The 22849-nt window shown below is 40.8% G+C and overlaps 1 protein-coding gene across 3 annotated transcripts in view; it reads left to right on the plus strand.

Moving 5' to 3' along the window:
• The window catches only part of SH2D4B (SH2 domain containing 4B), a 108659-nt gene that overhangs the window by 15699 nt on the left and 70111 nt on the right, over positions 1–22849 (plus strand). For all 3 annotated transcript variants that reach the window (NM_001388272.1, NM_207372.2, NM_001145719.1), the window contains exons 2-3: positions 16554–16716; positions 17831–17978. In NM_001388272.1, coding sequence (NP_001375201.1) covers positions 16554–16716; positions 17831–17978 — 311 coding nt within the window. The remainder of the gene's footprint in view (positions 1–16553; positions 16717–17830; positions 17979–22849) is intronic.

Raw genomic sequence — 22849 nt, forward strand, 5'->3', positions numbered from 1 at the left:
GCAAGAGAGGGTCCAGGCTTCATAGGAGGTGTGTCCTTGAGCTGGGGTAGAGGGGGCGCCATTTCACAGTTACAAGGTTGGAGGGAGTGATGGTGGTGGCTTAGCGTGACCAGCCCCATGTCTGTGTTGCTCATACACAGCAAAGGCAGTGCTGAATACAATATCAAATAGCCTGGCACTATTGGCAGCAGCCCCTGTGCCCACAGAGTGCTGGACTTTTGCCTCCTTTATGCCAGAGGCATGTATGACAGTAAGAGTGTCTGGGTTCCAATTTTGGCTACCCACTTTCTAACTGTGGCTGTTTCCCACTTATTAATTTGGCTTTGGTAAGATACTCATGAGTCTCTGAGCCTAAGTTTCCTCTTACCTAAACTGGAGATGATGATAATAAGTTCTGCATCCCAGATTTGTAAGGAAGACGAAATGATGGTCCCAGTGAAGCAAAGTATGTTGTGAGTACTTGATAAACATTAGCAGAGCACATTCCTCCTGTGCTTAGTGGAGTTCTAGAAGAACTTTTCCAGAAGACTGAAGTTCCAGAAGATTAAAGTTTACAGCTTAGAACAAAAGGCATCTGTGTTAAGAGAACACATCGCTGTTGGGGCAGCCGCTTCCTCGCAGGATTCTCTGAGAGGGGCCGTATCCTCAGCATGGGTCCTGCCTTTAGGAGCTGGTGCTGTAGGCACAGAGGGGGACATCTGCACTGTATCTTGTGGTCCATAGTGTCTCCTGGTTTCTTACTGTTCTGAAGTTCTGATTCAATCTCTTTATAACCAGCTAGCATTACCAAATGTGTCAGTTCAGGTTCTCCAGAGAAACAGAACCAATTGGATGTACGTGTGTGTGTGTGTGTGTGTGCTTACATAATTATTTTAGTTTGTTTTAAGGAATTGGTTCATGTGATTGTGGGGCTTGTCAAGTCTGAAATCTGTAGGACAGCCCAGCAAGGTGGAAACTCAAGCAGCATTTCTATGTTACAGTCTTGAGGCAGAATTTCATCTTGGGGAAATCTCCATTTTTTTGCTCTTAAGGCTTTTAACTGCTTGGGTGAGGCTTACCCACATGTGGAAGGTAATCTGCTTTATCTAAAGTCAACTGATTGAAAATGCTAATAACATCCATAAAATGGCTGGGCGCGGTGGCTTACGCCTGTAATCTCAGCACTTTGGGAGGCCGAGGCGGGTGGATCACAAGGTCAGGAGATCAAGACTATCCTGGCTAACACGGTGAAACCCCGTCTCTACTAAAAATACAAAAAATTAGCCGGGCGTAGTGGTGGGCACCTGTAGTCCCAGCTACTCAGGAGGCTGAGGCAGGAGAATGGCGTGAACCCAGGAGGCGGAGGTTGCAGTGAGCCGAGATTGCGCCACTGCACTCCAGCCTGGGCGACAAGGCGAGTCTCAAAAAAAAAAAAAAAAAAAAAAAAATCCATGAAATAACTTTACAGTAAAACCTAAGCAACTAGGCACTATAACCTACTTAAGTTGACATAAAATTCACCATCACAGCATGTAATTAATTCCACTCATATGTAGCAAGGACCTACTGTGTGCAGTGTGCTTCCGCTATGAGAGATGCCAGGGTTTTGCTCATCAGACTCCTACAATATAGCTGGGTGGCCAGGCTTTTCAATAAGGACATCCTTTAGGAGGATTCTTCCAAATCATCTCCAAGAGAACAAGAACAGCAAGTACGGTCTAGAACCAGGAAGCTGTCTGCAGCCAGAGTTGTTTCTCTCCCCGCCTACTGTTCACATTTCTCTCCCTGCCTACTGTTCACATTTCTCTCTGTGCACTTGCTTCTGCAGACCAGGTTCCAATGCTGTCCATCTGCAAACACAGCCCCCTAATGCTGTCCAGGGTCTGAATCCATGTGGCCTTCCATTTCCAAGATCCATTATTGTCTTTAAACTGAGAGGCTTCATGCCTCTCAGTTTGAATTCCATTCAGTGGGAGTCTGATTGGTCTAGCTCTGGTGCATACCTGTGAGTAAAGAAGCTGAGGTCATGGAGGAGGAGGGGTTGCTGCTGCTTTTCCGTTGAATGTCGTGGGGAAATTGCTAATATCTCTGCTGTGAACCGTTTTGTCCTAGTCGGCCTGAAGCTTTCCTAGTTTTAAAACTGAAAGTCCTGCATCTGAGGAAGGCCCTCAGTTCCAAGCAAACTGGTACTATTGGTCACCCTACCTCTGCTATGTTAAACACACCCACGTGAAAGCTTCAGAAGAAAATGTGGGTTTAAGAACAGGTGGGTTTAAGAACAGGCGTGTTCGTGCCATATTAGTGCAGAGGAGGAAGGTAAGAGAAGGAAAATCTCCCTAGGTTATTTCTGGATGCAGTGACCTTGCAGCTGGGTTGTGAAGGAAACCCAGGTAAGACGATGTGATGAACATTTATGGCTTGGGCTTTCCAGCATTGTTAAGTGGAAAGTGCCTTTTTATTTGCAGGGAAATCTGAGTATATATACATATATGACCTTTCTCACTCCTTGACAGCTACAATGTGGACGTATATATGGTGCAAATTAAGAGTCAAGTTCTTTTTTTTTTTGCACATGAATGTCTAATTTTTCTAGTACTATTTGTTGAAAAAAATCCTTTCTCCATTGCATTATCTTGGCACTGTTGAAAAGCAATTGACCATGTACGTGTGGGACTATTTCAGGACTCTCCATACTATTTCATTGATTGTGTATGTCTACTCTTGCACAAATACCACATTGGCTGTTGCTTTATGATAAATCTTCAAACAGTACCTTTATAGTAAATCTTAAAACAAATTGCATGAGTCATTCAGCTTTGTTCTTTTCAACATTGTTTTGACTATTCTAGGTCCTTTGCTTTTACACATAAGTTAGAATTAGCTTGTCAATTCTGTAAAAAGCTTTCTGGGAATCTGTAGATCAACCTGGGATGAATTGGCACATTAACACTATTGAGTTTTTCAATCCATGAAAAAGGTGTATTGCTCCATTTATTTAGGTCGTCAATTTCTTTCAGCAATGTTTTGTAGATTAGATCACACATTTTGTTAATATCTCTTAGTATTTCATGTTTTCTGATGCTATTGTAAATGGCACCTTAAAATTTAACTTTTAATTATTTGTTGCTAAAATACAGAAATACAATGGATTTTTGTGTATTAACCTTATAGCTTGTGACCTTGCTAAAAATCACTGATTAATTTGAATATCTTTTTTTGGTAGATTCTTTGAGATTTTATAGGTAAATGATTATGTCATATGCAAATGGAGACAAATTAAGTTTTCTCTTCAATATTCACAACTTTTATTTAATTTTCTTGCCTTATTGTACTGATTAGGGTCTTCAGTCTAATGTTAAATAGATATGGAGAGAGCTAACAACCTTGCCTGTTCCTAATCTTAGAGGGAAGTATTCAATCTCCGGTCATTAAGTATGATGTTAACTGTAGGTTTTCATAGATGCATTTATCAGAGTGAGGAACTACCCTCTATTTCTAGTTTGCTGAGAATCTTTACTAGGAATGGATATTGAATTTGTCAAATGTTTTTCTGTAACTACTGAGATGATCATAATTTGTTCTTTTTTAGTCTGCTGATAGGACTATTTTGATCGATTTTTGAATGTTGAACCAACCTTAAATTCCTGATAAAATCATATATGGTCATGATAATTTATCCTTTTTATATATTTCTGAATTTAATTTGCTAATACTTTATTAAGATTTTAAAAAATCTGTGTGATAGATATTGTTCTGTACTTTTCTTGAAATGTGTTTAGTTTAATATCAGGGTAATGTCAACCTGAAGAAATGTGTTAGAATATATTCTCTCCTCTTCCATTTTCTGGAAGTGTTTGTATGCATTTGGTATTATTTCTTCCTTAAATGTTTGATGGAATTTACCAGTAATGTCTTTCATTGTGGGCAGATTTTAACATATAAATTCAAGTTCTATAGTGGACATAGAGCTATTCAAGGTGTATGTTTCTTCTTTAGTGAACTGTTGTATATTTTGCATCTTTCAAATAATTTGCTTATTTTATCTAAGTTATCAACTTGATATAAAGTTGCTCATAAAATTCCCTTGTCTGTAGGATCTTTAGTGATGACCTCTCTTTCATGCCTGAAAGTTGTGTCTTCTCTCTTACTATCTTGATCAGTCTGCTGAGAAATTTATCAATTTCGCCAGTGGCTTCAAAAACTAATTTTCGTTTGTTTTATTGTGGTTTCTTTTTGTTTCTCTGTTTTCCATTTTATCAGTTTCTACCATTATCTTTATTATTTCTTTCTTACTTTTACTTTTGGATTTAATTTGTTCTTGTTTTCAAGTTTCTTAGTGTGGGAGCTTAGACCATTGATTTGAAACATTCCTTTCTAATATAAGCATTTGATGCTATAAATGTCTTTCAGTGCCCTGCTTTAACTACATCACATGAATTTTTACATGTTATTTAAAATATTTCTTCAATTAAAATATTTTATAATTCACCTTGTGATTTTTTTTTTAAAATTCATGGGCTACTTAGAATTGTGTTCTTTAGTTTCTGAATATTTGAAAGAAATTTTTTCAAGTATCTTTTTGTCATTGATTTCTAGATTTATTCCACTGTGGTCAGAGAACATAACACACATGATTTCAAATATTTTATGCTTGTTGATTTTTTTTTCAATAGCTGAGAATCCTATCTATCTGGGTGAATGTTCTGTATGTACTTGAAAGAGAAAGTATTCAGCTGTCATGTGAAGTGTTCCATAAATGTCAGTTAAGTTGGTTGATAAAGCTGTTTAGATCTTCTATAGCTTAATTTTTCCTACTTATCCTATTAATCACCAGAGGAAACTTTTTAAAAAGCAGCTTTATTGAGATGTTATTAATATGCCATATAATGATCATGCATTTATTTATTTATTTATTTATTGAGAAAGAGTCTCACTTTGTCACCCAGGCTGGAGTGCAGTGGTTCAGTCTTGGGTCACTGCAACTTCCATCTTCTGGGCTCAAGTGATTCTCCCACCTCAGCCTCTCAGTTGCTGGGACTACAGGTGCGTACCACCACATACCCAGCTAATTTTTGTTTTTTTCTTGGTAGAGACAGGGATTTGCCATGTGGTCAAGGCTGGTCTTATGTGGTTAAGGCTGGTCTTGAACTCCTGGGCTCAAGCAATCTGTCCAACTTGGCTTTCCAAACTGCTAGGATTACAGGTGTGAGCCGCTGCACACAGCCTTAAGTCATGCACTGAAAGCATACAATTTAATAGTTTTTAGTATGTTCATAGATATGTGCAACCATTTGTTGCTTGTACTTTTGCTGTCATATTTAAGAAACCCTTGTTTCTGAGGTCATGAAGGTCTAACCGGAGCATGAAGATTTATGCTTATATCTATAATTTTCAGTTATTAAGATAGAGTAGCACATAATATTCTTTTATAATCACTTCTTGTTTTATATTGTCTTTTCATTTCTAATGGTATATATTTTTGTTTTATTTAATTTTTACTTAGGTATGCCAGGCAGTTTCTTATTTTATTACATTTTCCAAAAAACAAATGTTTAGTTGTATTTATACTATATATGCTTTGTATTTTACTAATCTTAGCTTTTGTCTTCATTTGTTCCTTCTTCCTACTCTCTTTTATCTTATTTTATTGTTCTTTTTCTAATATCTCAAATTGAAAATTAGCTTATTCACATTATATCTTTTTTACAATGCTTTTAAAATTTCTCATTATAAAACATTTGAATGAACAGGCACAGTAGAAAATAATATTATAAATACCCATGGGCCCACAGTATATTTATCAAATGTTAACGTTAGTGTCTTATTTGTTTTTATTTAAACAATTCAGATTCAGTTGAGACCTACTTTGGTGCCTTTCTACAATCTTGCTCCCCATCTCTTATGCAACCCTTATTGCAAATTCAATGTTTATCATGCTTATATCTGTTTCTTACTGTAATATAGACTTTGTCCATAAGCAATATGTTGCTTAATCATTATATAAATGGCATTATATGATTATACTATGATAACCTGAATTTAATTTTGTGGTCCTGCATTTTTTTTTTTTTTTTTTGAGACAGGGTCTCACTCTATCACCCAGCCTATAGTGTAGTGGTATGATCATGGCTCACTGTAGCCTTGACCTCCTGGGCTCAAAGGATCCTCCTGCCTAAGCCTCCCGAGTAGCTGGAACTACACGCATGCACCACCACGTCTGGCTAATTTTTTTACATTTTGCAGAAATAGGGTTTCACTGTGTTCCTAGGCTGGTCTCAAACTCCTGGGCTCAAGTGATCCTCCCACCTTTGCCCCCCCAGAGTGGTTCTGCATTTTTAAAAGAGCTGTAACTATGTTGTTGAAATCTATTTTCTTGCTATATAGTACTGTATTTTTAAAATACACCTTTTTTTTTTTTTTTTTTTTGAGACGGGGTCTGGCTCTGTCGACCAGGCAGGAGTGCAATGGCGTGATCTCAGCTCACTTCAAGCTCCGCCTCCCAGGTTCACGCTATTCTCCTGCCTCAGCCTCCCGAGTAGCTGGGACTACAGGTGCCCGCCACCTCGCCCGGCTAATTTTTTGTATTTTTAGTAGAGACGGGGTTTCACCATGTTAGCCAGGATGGTCTCGATCTCCTGACCTCGTGATCCACCTACCTCGGCCTCCCAAAGTGCTGGGATTACAGGCGTGAGCCACCGTGCCCGGCTGCACCTTTTTTTTATTTTTATTTTTTAAAGTAAGGCTATTCATCATTTTTCAATTCATGTATAGGAATTATTTATATATTCTTAGATTTTTTTTTTTTTGAGACAGAGTCTTGTTTTGTCACCCAGGCTTTGGTATAATGGCATGATTATAGCTCACTGCAGCCTTGAACTCCTGGGGCTCAAGCCATCCTCCAGCCTAAGCCATCCTCCAGCCTCAGCCTTCCAAGTAGTTGGGACTATAGGTGCATACCACCACACCTGGCTAATTTTTTTTTACTTTTTGTAGAGACAGGGGGTCTTGCTTTGTGACCCAGGCTGGTCTTGAACTCCTGGCTTTGAGCAATTCTCCTGCCTTAGCCTCTCAAAATGCTGGAATTATAGGCCTGAACCACCGTTCCTGGCCAAGCTTTTTTTTTTTTTTTTTTTTTTTTTTTTAGGATTTTGTAAGACAATTAAGCTCTGATACACTGGTGGTGATTCTCAAAGTGTTGTTCCTGAATTCCTGGGGTCTGTGAGGATTTTCCTGGAGGTCTTCAAGGTCAACACTATTTTCACAATAACACTAAGAGGTTATTTACTTTCTTTTATCTTTACATTTGTACTAATAATGCAAAATCAATAGTGAGTGAATCTTTGGTGGTAGTCATTGTATTTTTCACCATCACACACTCTCGATAAAATCAATGATGGTTTCATTCCTTGGTGAAACAGTAAACTTCGTACTGTGTGACAAAATGGGAAGTATGCATGAAGCATTTCTGTTGCAAACTGATGTATGATGAGTGTTTTGAGAAAAGCATGTGTGATTGTTCAAATTATTTGCTGAACTAGCCTCTTTATTTGTGGAACACCATTTTTACTTGAAGAAACACTGACAGACAAGCTATATATGTTTTTTCAGACTTGGGTATTTGAAAATAAAGTGAATCTGTCACTTCAAGGAAAACAACGGATAGAATTCATGCCAATGATAAAAATTCAGCTTTAAAGCAAAAATTAAAATTTTTGGAAAACTTGTGTCTGCCACAATGGGCTTATTAGTTTCCAAATACATAATGACTTTTCTTGTAAGATTCATGGTGATATTTACAAATGTGACTTTTCAGATGTTGCAAAATAAAATAAGTCAGTGTTTGGAAGATCTGCTTGACTCAATGAACCAATATTCTCTAAAGAACCAATGAGTAATGTTGCAAAATTATGCATGGGTAAAAGATTCATTCAAAATGAAAAATAAACCAATGGATTTTCAACTTATTTTGCTTTTTAAATATTAAACTTTTTATTTTGAATTAACTTTAGACTTACAGAAGAGTTGCAAAGTAGTTCAGAGAATTCTCATATACCCAGCTTCCTTTTATGGTAACATGTTATGTCACTAAGGTACCCTGATCAAAACTAAGAAATTAACATGGCTAATAAATATCAATACAACAAAGTACAATAAATTTATTGATATGGTTTCAGATACCACATTGCAACTAACATTTAAGAAACTACAACTTGTTTGAGTTTTGATGTAGTATCAGAGATTATCTGAAAAAAATGATTAATTCCTTTTTCTTTTTTCCCAACTACATAACTGGATGAAGTCCAATTTTTCAAAATATACTTCAACCAAAATTACATTTTGCAACAGACTGAATGCAGGAGCAGATATGAGTAATCCACCTGCTTTCTATTAAGCTGGGCATTGAATAGATTTGCAAAAATGTAAAGCAAGGCCACTCACTCTTCCAATTACACACACACACACACACACACACACACACACACATATATAAAAATTCCAAAATCTCCTAATCCCCCTCCCTGCCCACAGCCCCCATCCCCTAGTAACAACTTTAAAAAATTCCACATGCAAGTGAGATAATGTGGTATTTGTCTTTCTGTGCCTGGCTCATTTCACTTAACATAATATCCTCCAGATTCATCCATGTTCTCACAAATGACAGAATTACCTTCTAAGGCTGAATAATACTCCACTGTGTACAAGTAAGTCCTTACTTAACATCACTGATAGGTTCTTGGAAACTGTGACTTTAAGTGAAATGACAAATATCAAAATCAGTTTTTTCTCATGAACGTTTTAACAAAATGACATTGAATCAAATGACATTATTTAAAAGACTGACTGTATGTTGTTTTGCTTACAGTTGCAGTTTCCAAGAACCTATCAATGATATTATGTGAGGACTTACTTAATACATACCACATTTTCTCTATCCATTTCTCTGTTTATAATCACTTAGGTTGATTCCATATCTTGGCTATTGTGCATAATGCTGCAGTGAATATGGGAGTTCAGATAACTCTTCAGCATACGGATTTCATTTCCTCTGGATATTTATCCAGTAGTGGGATAACTGGATCATAGGATACTTCAATTTGTAATTTTTTTCAGGAACCTTCATACTATTTTCCGCAATAGCTGTACTAATTTATGCTCCCACCAACAGCGTAAAAGGCTCCCTTTTCTCAACATCCTCTTCCACATTTGTTACCTTTCATCTTTTTGATAATAGCCATTCTTACAGGTGTGAGGTGATATCTCAATGTGGTTTTAATTTGCATTTCTCTGATGACCTATGATGCTGAACATTTTTTCTTTTTTTTTTTTTTTTTTTTTTTTTGAGACGGAGTCTCGCTCTGTCGCCCAGGCTGGAGTGCAGTGGCGGGATCTCGGCTCACTGCAAGCTCCGCCTCCCGGGTTCACGCCATTCTCCTGCCTCAGCCTCCCAAGTAGCTGGGACTACAGGCGCCTGCCACTACGCCCGGCTAATTTTTTGTATTTTTAGTAGAGACGGGGTTTCACCGTTTTAGCCGGGATGGTCTCGATCTCCTGACCTTGTGATCTGCCCGCTTCGGCCTCCCAAAGTGCTGGGATTACAGGCGTGAGCCACCGCGCCCGGCCGATGCTGAACATTTTTTCATATACCTGTTGGCTATTTGTATGCCTTCCTTTGAGAAATATCTATTCTAGTCTTTTGCCAATTTTTTAAATTGGGTTATTTGTTTTCTTCTGTTGAGTTGTTTGAGTCCTTATATATTTTGGATATTAACCCTTTATCAGATGTATGGTTTGCAAATATTTTCTTCCATCCTGTAGATTATCTCTTTACTCTGTTAATTGTTTCCTTGGCTGTGCAGAAGCTTTGTAGTTTGACATTATCCCATTTGTCTATTTTTGCTGTTGTTGCATGTGCTTTTGAGTTTATAGCCAAAAAATAATTGCCCAGATCAATGCCATTTTACCCTGTTTTTCAATTACATATTTGTTTTAGAATACATCATTATTTTTCATTAAATATTATGCAGTATATGTTAATATATGATGATTTACCATTATTTGAAATAAATATTTAAAATTTTCTCAGTTTTAACTAGGGGAAATATTGATAGATATAACCCACAACAACAGAAGCTCTTTGTGATACTCAGTATTTTTAAAGAATGTACAGGGGCTCTAAGAGCTAATTATTTGATAACTCTTGTCCTAAAGGATGCATTATATGTGCTGAGTTAACTCTCCCACAAGGCATATAGGTTGGTACTATCTATATATCATCCTTAGGAAAATTGAGAAAAGGCATCATTCAAATTATGTTTCATAGGGCTTATTTCTCTTACAGAACCCCAATCAAGAAAAATTGTCCTGGATTTCCATACGTTGGTACATATAAAACACGTTGAACTGCAATTAGTAGCTAAGCCCTCTATAGATGTTAGCTGTTATTATTACTTTTATTAATAGTTGTGATCATTTGATGGTTACAGGTATTTAAATGTTTTCTCTCATTTGGTGTTTTGATTTTTAATTGTCTTTATGATGTGTTTTTTGTGTGTAGAAATTTTAAACCTTAATCTGTATTCAAATTTATCAACATTGCATCTTGCAGCTTATTCTTTTTATGTCTTGTAGAACAAATTCTTCCCTTTCCCAAAGTTATAATGATGTGCTTTTATATCTTCCTTTAAATGTTTTCAAGTTTCCAAGTCTTCCTTTTCACAGGCTTAGGAAACCACTCATGTCAAGATCACCAGAGACCTCCATGTTGCTGAATCCAGCGTCCAATTATCAGCCCTCCCCTCATCTACCCATTAGCCGCACTTGCAAGATTCCTTTCTCCTTGCTTCCTGAAATTCTTTCTCCACTTGGCTTGGGATACTGCACTCACAGGTTATTCTCCTGCCTCACAGGCCTCTCTCTCCAGGTCTCCTTTGGGTCCTCCTCCTCTTGAAGTATTGGAGTGTCTCTCCTGGGACAATGTCCTTGGGCATCTTCCGTTTTCTACCAATTCTCACTCTCTAGCTGATCCCATCCATTTCCTTGGCTTTAAATATCATCTGTACACTGATGACTCAAAAAGTTTATTTCTTAGTCCCATCCTTTCCCCTGAATCCTATTTTATTCAACTGCCTGTTGAGTGTCTAATAAGCATGTCAAACAATTTGGCCAAAACAGAATATTGATATCTCCAGCCTCTTTCTTCCATGTTCTCCATTTTAGTAACATAACCATTAATTTTGTGGCTTAAGCCAAAACATTCATTCTATTGTTAAAAGGAAAACTTCAGCTGAAGTAAATTATAGGAATTTAATTGAGGAATGAATGATTTGCCAATCGGGCAGCACTCAGAATCACAGCAGATACAGAGAGACTCCAGGGATGCCTCATGGTCAGAACAAATTTATAGACAAAAAAAGGGACATTGGAAGTGAGGTACAGAAACAGGTGGATTGGTCACAGGTTGGCATTTGCCTTATTTGAGCACAGTTTGAACACTCAGCAGTCTATGAGTGGCTGAAGTATGGCCGCTGGGATTGGCCAAGACTCCCCTGTTGTTACAGGCTGATACTCCTAAGTTACGGTTTCAGTCTTGTATACCTATTAAGTTAGGTTATGGTTCGTCCACAAGGACTCAAATAGAGAACAACAGAGTCCTTCTCAGGCCATATTTAGTTTGCTTTCACACTATCTAACTTTATTTTTGTGCCCATTAACCATCCCCTGTACCCCCCACCCCCAGCCCCACTACCCTTCCCAGCCTCTGGTAACCATCATTCTACCCTCTATCTCCATGAAGAACTTTATTTCTTTTCCTTTTTTTTTTTCTTTTAAAGAGACATGTTCTTGCCCTCTTACCCAGGCTGGAGTGAGTGCAGTGGTGTAATCATAGCTCACTGCAGTCTCCAGCTCCTGGGCTCAAGGGATCTTCCTGCCTCAGCCTCCCTGCTAGCTGGGACTAGAGGCATGCACCACCACACCCAACTGAAGAACTTTATTTCTTAAATTTCCTTATTTTTCTCAGATGACAAGAAATCTGGGGGTGTGCTGCAATGGGTAATACTAGTTTAGCTGCTCGATAAGATCACCAAGGATCCCTTCCCTTCTATCTTTTGCCTCCCCATCCTTAGCATGTGGCTTTTATCCTCATGGTTGCAAAAGTTTTCCAGTGGCTCCAGGAATCACTGCTTCATTCCTGGCAGGAAGAAGAAGGTCGGGTAAAAGAGTGAAGAGTGGCCGGGCGTGGTGGCTCACGCCTGTAATCCCAGCACTTTGGGAGGCCGAGGCGGGCGGATCACGAGGTCAGGAGATCAAGACCATCCTGGCTAACACGGTGAAACCCCGTCTCTACTAAAAATACAAAAAAATTAGCCAGGCGTGGTGTTGGGCGCCTATAATCCCAGCTACTCCGGAGGCTGAGGCAGGAAGATGGCGTGAACCCAGGAGGCGGAGCTTGCAGTGAGCTGAGATCGCGCCACTGCACTCCAGCCTGGGTGACAGAGCGAGACTCCGGCTCAAAAAAAAAAAAAAAAAAAAAAAAAAAAGAGTGAAGAGGGAAGGGGTTTCTCCTAAGAAGACTTATCCAGTTTGTTTGGAGAAGAAGAGCCCTTTACATGGAACGTCTGCCTACATCTTCTTTGTCAGAAATGGGGACATCTTGTCACTCATAGATGAATCACTTGCCAATGAGAATAATATTACCTGATGGGATTAGATCAATTTCTTTTTTTTTTTTTTTTGAGACCGAGTCTCACTCTGTTTCCCAGGCTGGAGTGCAGTGGCGTGATCTTGGCTCACTGCAACCTCTGCCTCCTAGGTTGAAGCAATTCTCCCACCTCAGCCTCCCGAGTAGCTGGGATTACAAGCATGCACCATCATGCCCAGCTAATTTTTGTAGTTTTAGTAGAGATGGGGTTTCATCATATTGGCCAAGCTGGTCTGGAACTCCTGACCTCAGGTGATCTGCCCACCTTAGCCTTCCAAAGCGCTGGGATTACATGCGTGAGCCACTGCGCCCTGCCAAATCAATTGTTATTTGTCCTTTGAGGTTGGGGTCAAAACTCACCTTTCCTAAAAGAGGGGGGATCTCTGCTGCTCCCTGAACAACTTGGGGTTCTGTGGTGAGGCAAGCGTGGAGGGTGGGTAGTTAATTGGCAGTGTCTGCTGTAATAGCTACCCATTTTTTGCTGCTTTATCTTTTCCCCTTGCTTAGCAGGATTGGTAATCCTCTTATCATTTATTTTTACCCACTATTAATTTGAAAGTTTTATAATTCTAAGCAGTGGTTGCCTCTCTGTTTCTATCAGTTATAATTAAATCGGTGTTTCTTTACTATATATTGCTTGTAACATACTTAAAAATAGCAATGCACTCCTATATATATCTGGAGAATTACTGCTGTCTTGCGCATGTAGAAAAACCTGAAATTTCAGTAGATTAATATGATGAAGGTTTATTACTTAACTATTTCACAGTTTGATGTGGGTTGGATATTTCTTCTGTGTGGCTTGCTTTCGAATATTGGATCATGGATCAGGCTGCTTTTTTTCCGTGAAATTCCACCATTTATTTCCAGCTGGGTGGACAAGAGTGAAAATGTGGAAAAGGCACACCCGCTGCTAACCACCTTAGCCTGAAAATGGCACAAATCCCTTCCCTGACATTCCGTGGACTAGAATTCGATCACATGGTCCCACTGTACTGAAGGGAAGTTGAGGAATGTAGTCAGTCATCTGTGGGCTGAGGAAGAGACATAGGGTGGTGGACATTGCATTGTCACTGTCCTAAATTGTCATTCTGGCCATCCACACATTTCATTCTTCTCCTCCATCTAAAATACACTCACCACCTCTTATAGGGGACACCTTCAGGTCCCAGCCAGTCACTGCATCCAGCTGAAAGTCCACTGTCTCTGGGGTTCTGCACTGGTCTCTATCAGGTCTGAATGTGCTGAGAAGACATATCATTTAAATACCTGTCACCCCTAAGGCACTATATACAGTGCTGGAGCAGGGTCAGAATACCCACTAAGGAAATGCCACCTGGAAAAGTGGAGAACGTGAGAGCCACAGTCTCCAGTCTATAGCATTTCTGAAGTCCTACAGGTCAGGACCGCAAAGTTTCCCTGCCTTGCAGTGAAGAGAATTCCTTGAGTGAACACTGACTTCAGCCTGGATGAGGCTTTTTGTCTGATTCCCCTTGGCCTCCTCTGAAGGGAGTGTTGAGGATCACACCCTCTAGACCAGTGTAGCCTTTGAAACCTGCCTGCTGGTCATCAAACTTGGATGCCCAAGGGCCATTTAAGTCATGAACAACCAAAGATTTTTTAATCCAGGCTCAAAAACTTAGGGGGCTTCTGTTCGCTTCCATGTCCCAGTAACAACATCTAAAATTCTTTCCTAGACATATTTCTCAACTCGACATTCTTCCTTTGTCCCTTCATCTCTGTGCCTCTCTGTTTCACCTGAAGGACATCTTCCTTGAAGCTTTTTCTAAAAATAAGTGTGAGAGATCACACTTTTTTTTTTTTTTGAGACAGAGTCTTGCTCTGTCGCTCAGGCTGGAGTGCAGTGGCGCAATGAGAGATCACGTTCTTAATGTGGCTATGTTAGTCTGGTTTCTCCAAGGAGTACAGACAGGATGGGATTAATCATGCAAGGGTTTTATTAAGGGAAATGTCTGGGAGAGAAAAAGGGCAGGGAGCTGGAGGAGGCTGAGGGAGTCATTGTAAGCTTGACCTTGAGTGAAGGAGAGGGCAAGGGACAGTGGGCAGAGGTGTTGCAGGCAGCTGTGCAGTCCAGGGAAAGCAATCTTTCGGCAAGGAGGTGGGTGTCTCCTGGGAATGAGCCTAGCATCCTCAATAAAAGGCTAACAGCAGCCTCTGGGAAGCAGGGCCTTGGGCAAACGCAAGGGCACAGGAGCTGCGGGGCTTGGTCAGTGATGCTCCTTGTGGTTGAAGGTGGACGGAGCACATCCTCATGGTCACCATAAGAACTTCACAGAGCCTGACCTGCAGGTGCTGTGTGCCCTTCGTCACTTTATTCACCTTAGAAGTTTTCCTGTGCTCTGTCATACAAAACCTTTAAAAATCCCATCTCTTGCAATGTCGGTCCTGGTATATGAAGAGATGCTTTTTCAATCCTACAACATCTCAAATTTCTGTATTTGTTCTATTCCCTTTCTTTCAGCTTGCAAAGCACTCAGTTCTTTCTTGAATTCATTTCTTTCTGTTAACACCTTGCCAAACACAGTCACTAGCAACCAACACTTATTCCTAATGTTCTATTTTTCAACCTCCTCCCTTAGAATGAAAAGTTCAGAAAGCATGGGGTCTGCTTTTGAAGTTACAGTGTCTAGCTTTTTAACTGAATGTTTTGCTGCTGCATAACATGGATCTCTAGCCTGTTAAACATCGCTCACCACCCAACTGCTAAGGCAGTAACACAGTTTATATTTCTGTTTCAGCAGCACCCTGCTTCTGGGATACATTTTTATTTTAATCCTGTAATCAGCGGAATCTGCTGCAATAGGCAAACTGAGAAATCTCAGTGGCTGAATTTAACACAGGTTTATTTCTTGCTAGTGTCACGGTCTGTTGTGGGACTGGGAGACTCAGGGCCCCAGGCTGCTTCATCTCACACCACCACCTGATTCCTTGTTTCTAGCCAGTGGACATGAGGCAGAGAGTGCAGAGCGGGCCCACCATCTCCTAACTGCCTTGGCCCGGGAGTGACACAAGTTTCTTCCTTCAGAGAGTGCTGCAATGTCCCTTGATGTTCTTGTAGCAAAGTCCAAAGCTTGTACTGCTCACAACACAACAGCCAATAAGTTGAGAGACAAGGCGTTGGGGCAAGGAAAGCAACTTTATTTCGGAGACCCAGCGAACCGAGAAGATGGCAACTAGTGTCCTAAAGAACCTCCTAAGCTAATATGAATTTTGGGTTTCTTTTATGTTAAGGGAAGGGGGAAGAGGCGGGGGGGTTGAGATCAAAGGGTGAGCAATGACTATGGACATCTGGGTGGCAGCGAGGGTAAAGTTCTTTGTCCTTGGTCAGGTCACAATGCTCTTATACATTTTTAACATGACATCGTTACTTGTGTGTACACCCTCTTTGTCTCCTGGGGGGTTCGTTTTGGGGAGGGGCTATTATCATCCTTGCTTTACAGTTAAACTATACACTAAATTCCTCCCATTGTTAGCTCGGCCTATGTGCGGAGGTAAGCAAAAGCAGTTAACCTAAAAGATATCACTGCAGGGGCCGGGAGGTTAGGAGTAAGTTGGAGCTAGTCATGCTCGGCCTCCTTTTCACTGTACATTCTCTCTGCTGGAGATGGAAGGAGAGCTCAGTCTTGGACGCCCACCCCCGCAGGCTGGTGTGGCTGTTGCGTTTCTCCCTAGAGGAATAGAGAGTGGGAGATGGTTGTGGACCTGCCCCCAGGCCAGTGTCTCTCTGGCATTCTTTTTGTGGATGACAATGTTCCATAGAGTGATGTGATGGTTGTTTACCACTGGGCAGCTTAGGTCATTCCTTACTGATTGAAAATCAAACTTGTTTCTTCTTCCTTCTTCTATTGTGAAGCAGCGAGTGACAAGCACATCCAATGGCTCCTAGGGGCAGATGGCGAGGTCTGGGTCTGGATCATGGGAGAAGGCCCTGGTGACAAGCCCTACGAAGAGATCTCTGAGGAGCTGATTGCAGAGAGGGCGCGGCTGCAGGCACAGAGGGAAGCTGAGGAGCTCTGGTGAGGGGTGCTATGGGGTGTTGGGTGGGGCCTAGGCATGGAAGCTATGCTTAGCCCCACGCACGGCTAATTTTTGTATTTTTAGTAGAGATGGAGTTCCATCATGTTGGCCGGGCTGGTCTCAAACTCCTGACCTCAGGTGAGCCACCCGCTTCGGCCTCCCAAAGTGTTGGGATTATAGGCGTGAGCCACCACACCCAGCCTTAATGATGGTATTTTAATTGAAAGATTCTAAAATCAGGTAAACAACACTGAAAACTATACAAAATAAAGAACAACTCACACCCACCACCTAATGTAACCATAGTGAATGTTTAGTTAATACATGCTTTGTAAATTGTTTTATTCACACCTTGACAAATTGACTTATAGATCCAAAATGCTACTTAAGATTACTATATGGTACAGGTATTTATTATATGATATGAGAAACCCAACTTATTGGTCTTATTGGTGGACATTTGGGTTGTTTACCATTTTTTATATTATAAAAATAATCTGACAAGCATCTTTTACATGCATCTTTGTTTTATTTACTTATGAATTTATTTATTTATCATTTTGTTTTGTTTTTTTGAGACAGGGTCTCACTCTGTTTCCCAGGCTGGAGTGCAGTGTCATGATCAAGGCTCACTGCAGCCTTGATCTCCTGGGCTCAAGTGATCCTCCCGCCTCAGCCTCCTGAGTATCTGGGACACAGGTGCATGCCACCAGACATGGCTAATTTTTCAAATTTTTAGTAGAGACGGTGTCACACTATGTTGCCCAGGCTGGTCTTGAACTCCTGGCCTCAAGCGATCCTCCTGCCACTGCCTCCCAAAATGCTGGGATTACAGGCATGCACCACCATGCCTAACCTACATGTATCCTTGTACGCTTGAGTGAGTGTAGAAAATCTAGGAAATGGGGTTTCTAGCATAGTTTTCCTGGCTTCCAGAACAATTGTGCCGATTTACACTCCCATGCGTGAGAATGCCTATTTCTCCCTGTCTTTGCCAACACCGAATTCTGATAGACCAAGGAAAAATTGCTCATTGTTTTTATTTCAAGTTCTATTGTTAGGTGGTCCTTCAGTTTTTCACACAAGCTTATACCTGTGGTGCTCTCTTGGTAGGAGACAGAAGGAGGCAGAGATCACCAAGAAGTTCCGGGATGCTCTGGCCAATGAGAAAGCCCGGATCTTGGCGGAGAAGTGGAAAGTGGAGATGGAAGACCGCAAGGCTGCCAAAGTCCTGGAGGAACGCATCCACGAGGAATTCAAGGTGGGCCAGCGCATGGGGCCCCTGCGTGCGGCCACCTAATTAGCCCCTGAGACCACTGGGGCTGACCTCTGGTTTGGATCAATCCTTGGCCATTGGTTGGTACTGGGTGCTTTATGAGAATAGAAATCTGTAATGTCTGAGCAGGAAGGAACTTGACACACCATTTGGGCCAATCCACTTCTGTTTCTTTTTTTTTTCTTTTTTTTTTTTTTTGAGACGGAGTCTTGCTCGTCGCCCAGGCTGGAGTGCAGTGGCGCAGTCTCGGCTCACTGCAAGCTCTGCCTCCCGGGTTCACGCCATTCTCCTACCTCAGCCTCCCGAGTAGCTGGGACTACAGGTGCCCACCACCACACCCGGCTAAATTTTTGTATTTTTAGTAGAGACGGGGTTTCACCGTGTTAGCCAGGATGGTCTTGATCTCCTGACCTCGTGATCCGCCCGCCTCGGCCTTCCAAAGTGCTGGGATTACAGGCGTGAGCCACTGCGCCCGGCCGGGCCAATCCACTTCTTATTTTACAGATGAGGAAACTGAGGGTGAGACAGAAGAGACTTGGCCAAGTTCACATATAGTAGTGGTTAGGGATAGACTCAGAATCAGAACCGGGGCCTTTTGCATCCCAAACCACCAGTCCAGAAATGAGGCCTAGAACATTCCTTGTTCATAATATTCAGGTAATAATAACACTCTTCTGGAAATATTTATGAGGATTCAAGGAGATGATATAGTCACATTTTGTGGTCTAGGATAAAGAGTTATTGGTCTATTGACAGGTGCTGGTTAGAACAAATAGTAGGTTTTTCCGGTAACGTTGAGCTTTTTAATGGAGGTCTAGAGTCATCCTAGGGACATGATCTTATGCTGCTAGAAGCCATGGCCAGAGTTTGATGGAGTTGTTAACGTGTGTGCAGAGAGTCTTGCAGTTGTCAATATACTCATGGCATTTTCCCATTAAAAAAATTTTAAAACTTTGTTTTGCCCCATACTAATTAGACAGTGAGGACATTGGCCTTGCCTTGCCTTCCCTCCACTCCCCTCCCCTCCCCTTTCTTTTCTTTTTTGAGACGGAGTCTTGCTTTGTTGCCCAGGCTGGAGTTCAATGGCGTGATCTCGGTTCACTGCAACCTCTGCCTCCCGGGTTGAAGGGATTCTTCTGCCTCAGCCTCCCGAGTAACTGGGAGTACAGGCGTGCATCACCATGCCCGGCTAATTTTTGTATTTTTAGTAGAGACGGGGTTTCACCAGGTTGGTCAGGCTGGTCTCGAACTCCTGACTTTGTGATCTGCCCGCCTCAGCCTCCCAAAGTGCTGGGATTATGGGTGTGAGCCACTGCACCCGACCAATGTTGGCCTTTTCATGTATGTTGCAAATATATATATATATATATATATATATATATATATATATATATTTTTTTTTTTTTTTTTTTTTTTTTTTTTTGAGACGGAGTCTCCCTCTGTCTCCTTGGTGCGATCTCGGCTCACTGCAAGCTCCGCCTCCCGGGTTCATGCCATTCCCTTGCCTTAGCCTCCTGAGTAGCTGGGACTACAGGCGCCCGCCACCGCGCCCGGCTAATTTTTTTTTTGTATTTTTTAGTAGAGACGGGGTTTTGTGTTAGCCAGGATGGTCTCGATCTCCTGACCTCGTGATCCGCCCACCTCGGCCTCCCAAAGTGCTGGGATTACAGGCGTGAACCACCGTGCCCGGCCTATGTTGCAAATATTTTTATCAGTGTTATTTTTTTCTTAAATTTGGTTTCAGTATGTTCAGATGTACATAGGATTAAACTTTTAATTGGCTAAATCTATCAGTCTATTTATTTTCATTATTTGCTTCATGCTTAGAAGAATCTGTGACATCACAAGCTTATAAAAATCTACATTGTTTATATGTCTTTCCTGATTTTACTTCAACTAGTTTTCCTTCACTTTGGAGGGTGATGTAATAGAGGGCTCTTTATTTTCTTCCAAATGGCAGCCAGTAGTCCCCATATTATTTATTATGTAATCTGTCTTTTCCCTTCTCATTTGACTTGCTGCCTTCATTGGATTCTTACTTGTTACTTACTTGTGGACCTTTTTGTGGATTTTTCTTCTTTGATTTATTATTCCTGAGCCAGACTTAATTGTTTAATTATTGTAGCTTTAAAATAAATTTTAACATCTGTTAAGGTAAGAACCCTACCATTACTCTTCATTTCCAAAATGTCCTTGGCTAATCTCACCCATTTTTTTTTCTGCCAGGGAAACTTGAATTATTTTGTCATTATCTCCCACCCTCTTAACAACAAAGACCTCGGTGATTTTCATTAGAATTGCATCAATTTATAGCTGTCTTTGTGAAAAATGGACATTTTTACAATATTGAATCATTGAATCTTCTTGTTCAGAAATGTGATATGTTATTCAAAGGTTCTTTTTGTCTTTGTTAATTTTTTAAAATACCTTTAAAAGTGCTGACCACCTAATCCCAAACTTTCTCAATAACTTTTATCTATATACCTATATGCTTCTATTTTTTGGAACTTGGTAAAATTTATTTTCTTGAAGTGCTCCACATTTGTTTTTTCTTTTTATTTGAGATAGGGTCTCACTCTGTTGCCCAGGCTAGAGTGCAGTGGCACAATCTCAGCTCACTGTAACCCCTGTCTCCTGGGCTTAAGTGATCCTCCCTCCTCAGCCTCCCAAGTAGCTGGAACTGCAGGCATGTGCCACCACACCCAACTAATTTTTGTATTTTTTGTAGAGACAGGATTTCACCATGTTGCCCAGCTGGTCTTGAACTCCTGAGCTCAAGCCAACCACCTACCTTGGCCTCCCAAAGTGCTGGGATTACAGGCATGAGCCACTACACCTACCCATGCATTTCTTTTTTAGTTAAACTTCAGGTTTAATATTCGTTGTTGCTATTGTGAATAAGATTGTACCCATTATTTTTAAACCTATTGTACTTGCTAGTTATATATTTGGATCCACAGCCTGTGGTTGAGACACTCAGTGAACCTGAGAGTCTGGCCAGATGGCCCTAGTGATCCTCCATGAGTGTTATTAATCTCCTTATTTAATTTTCCCATGAGTTGTAAATTTTTTAGCAGATTTTCCTGAGTTTTTATTATCAATTAATTAATTAATTAATTTGTTTGAGACGGAGTTTCGCTCTTGTTGTCCAGGCTGGAGTGCAATGGCGCAATCTCGGCTCACTGAAGCCTCCACCTCCCAGGTTCAAGTGATTCTGCTGCCTCAGCCTCTCAAGTAGCTGGGATTGCAGGCACCCACCACCACACCCAGCTAATTTTTGTATCTTTAGTAGAGATGGGGTTTCACCATGTTGGTCAGGCTGGTCTCGAACTCCTGACCTCAAGTGATCCACCCACCTTGGCCTCCCAAAGTGCTGGGATTACAGGCATGAGCCACCATGCCTGGCCTCTTGTGAGTTTTTAAATGGAGTATAATGTGGAAAACAGTATTTGGAAACAGTATGTACCCTCCACACATTTTATTTTTTTAAAATTTCAAACATGAAGAAAAGTTGAAAGAAAAAATAAAATGAATACTCATATATTCTCCATTTAAATTCACCAATTTTTAACATTTTACCACATTTGCCTTCTCTCTCTGGCAAATGTGGTAAAATATTAATAATTGGTGAATTTAAATGGAGAATATTTATATGCTCACTCACACTCATATACACTTTGTTGTTGCTATTGTTTTACTAAACAATTTTAAAGGAAGTCATGGATGATGATATTCTAACCCAGGGGCTGGCAAACTATTTTCTGTAAAGGGCCAGATAGTAAATATTTTAGGCTTTGGGAGCCAACTGTCCCTGTCACACAACTACTCAACTCTGCTGCTGTAGCACAATAGCAGCTACTGACAATTTAGAAACAAAGGGATGTGGGCTGGGCACAGTGGCTCACACCTGTAATCCCAGCACTTTGGGCAGCTGAGGCGGGTGGATCACTTGAGGTCAGGAGTTCGAGACCAGCCTGGCCAACATGGTGAAACTACTAAAACATGGTGAAACTACTAACAATACAAAATACTAAAAAATACAAAAATTAGCCACGCCTGTAATCCCAGCTACTCAGGAGGCTGAGGCAGGAGAATTGCTTGAACCCAGGAGGCAGAGGTTGCAGCGAGTGGAGATTGAGCCACTGCACTCCAGCCTAGGATCCTTAGTTTGCAGATTCCTGATCAAAACCTAAGAAGTTCAACATGCATCTCCTATGAAGAAGGGCATTTCCCTCCACAGCTATAAAAGTCATTTTCACACCTATTGAAATGAACAATAACTCCATAATAGTATTTCAAATCCAACCCACAGTGGAGAGATACTTAGTTTATGTTGCTGGGTTTTGCATATGATTATTTAAGTCTGTTCGGGAAGAAAACCAATTCTTTTTATCTCTCTCCTAACCGTGAAAGCACCTGCTCTAATTTCTGGCCTTCCTCTTTCCCACATGGGGGCTGAGCTCCAGATACTGGAAGAGTGGCTCTGTGGAGCTGGAGTCCTGGGGCTCAGCTCACAAGGAGATCATGAAGGGATTAAGGTATGAGTGGAGGTTTTCTGGTCAATGGTCTCCTTGAGAACCTCAGTGATAGAGTGGGTGAGAAATTGTGGGATGTTCTATGCTGGGGCTCATGAAGGATCACTAGGGCCATTTGGCCAGACTCTCATGTTCACTGAGGGTCTCAACCACAGGCTGTGGATGTTATTGCCAAGGAAGGTTATGATTATTATATGTTTGTTTTGGTTCAAATATTAATTTGATAAATGTGAATGTTTAAACTTCATTAGAAATAGTAATCTTGATCTGGCATATCTTCATTTTGAAGAGCCTCAGAAATGCCTTGGAGAGGCTCATTAG

Source organism: Homo sapiens, chromosome 10, assembly GCF_000001405.40.
Source record: "Homo sapiens chromosome 10, GRCh38.p14 Primary Assembly".
Classification (NCBI taxonomy): domain Eukaryota; kingdom Metazoa; phylum Chordata; class Mammalia; order Primates; family Hominidae; genus Homo; species Homo sapiens.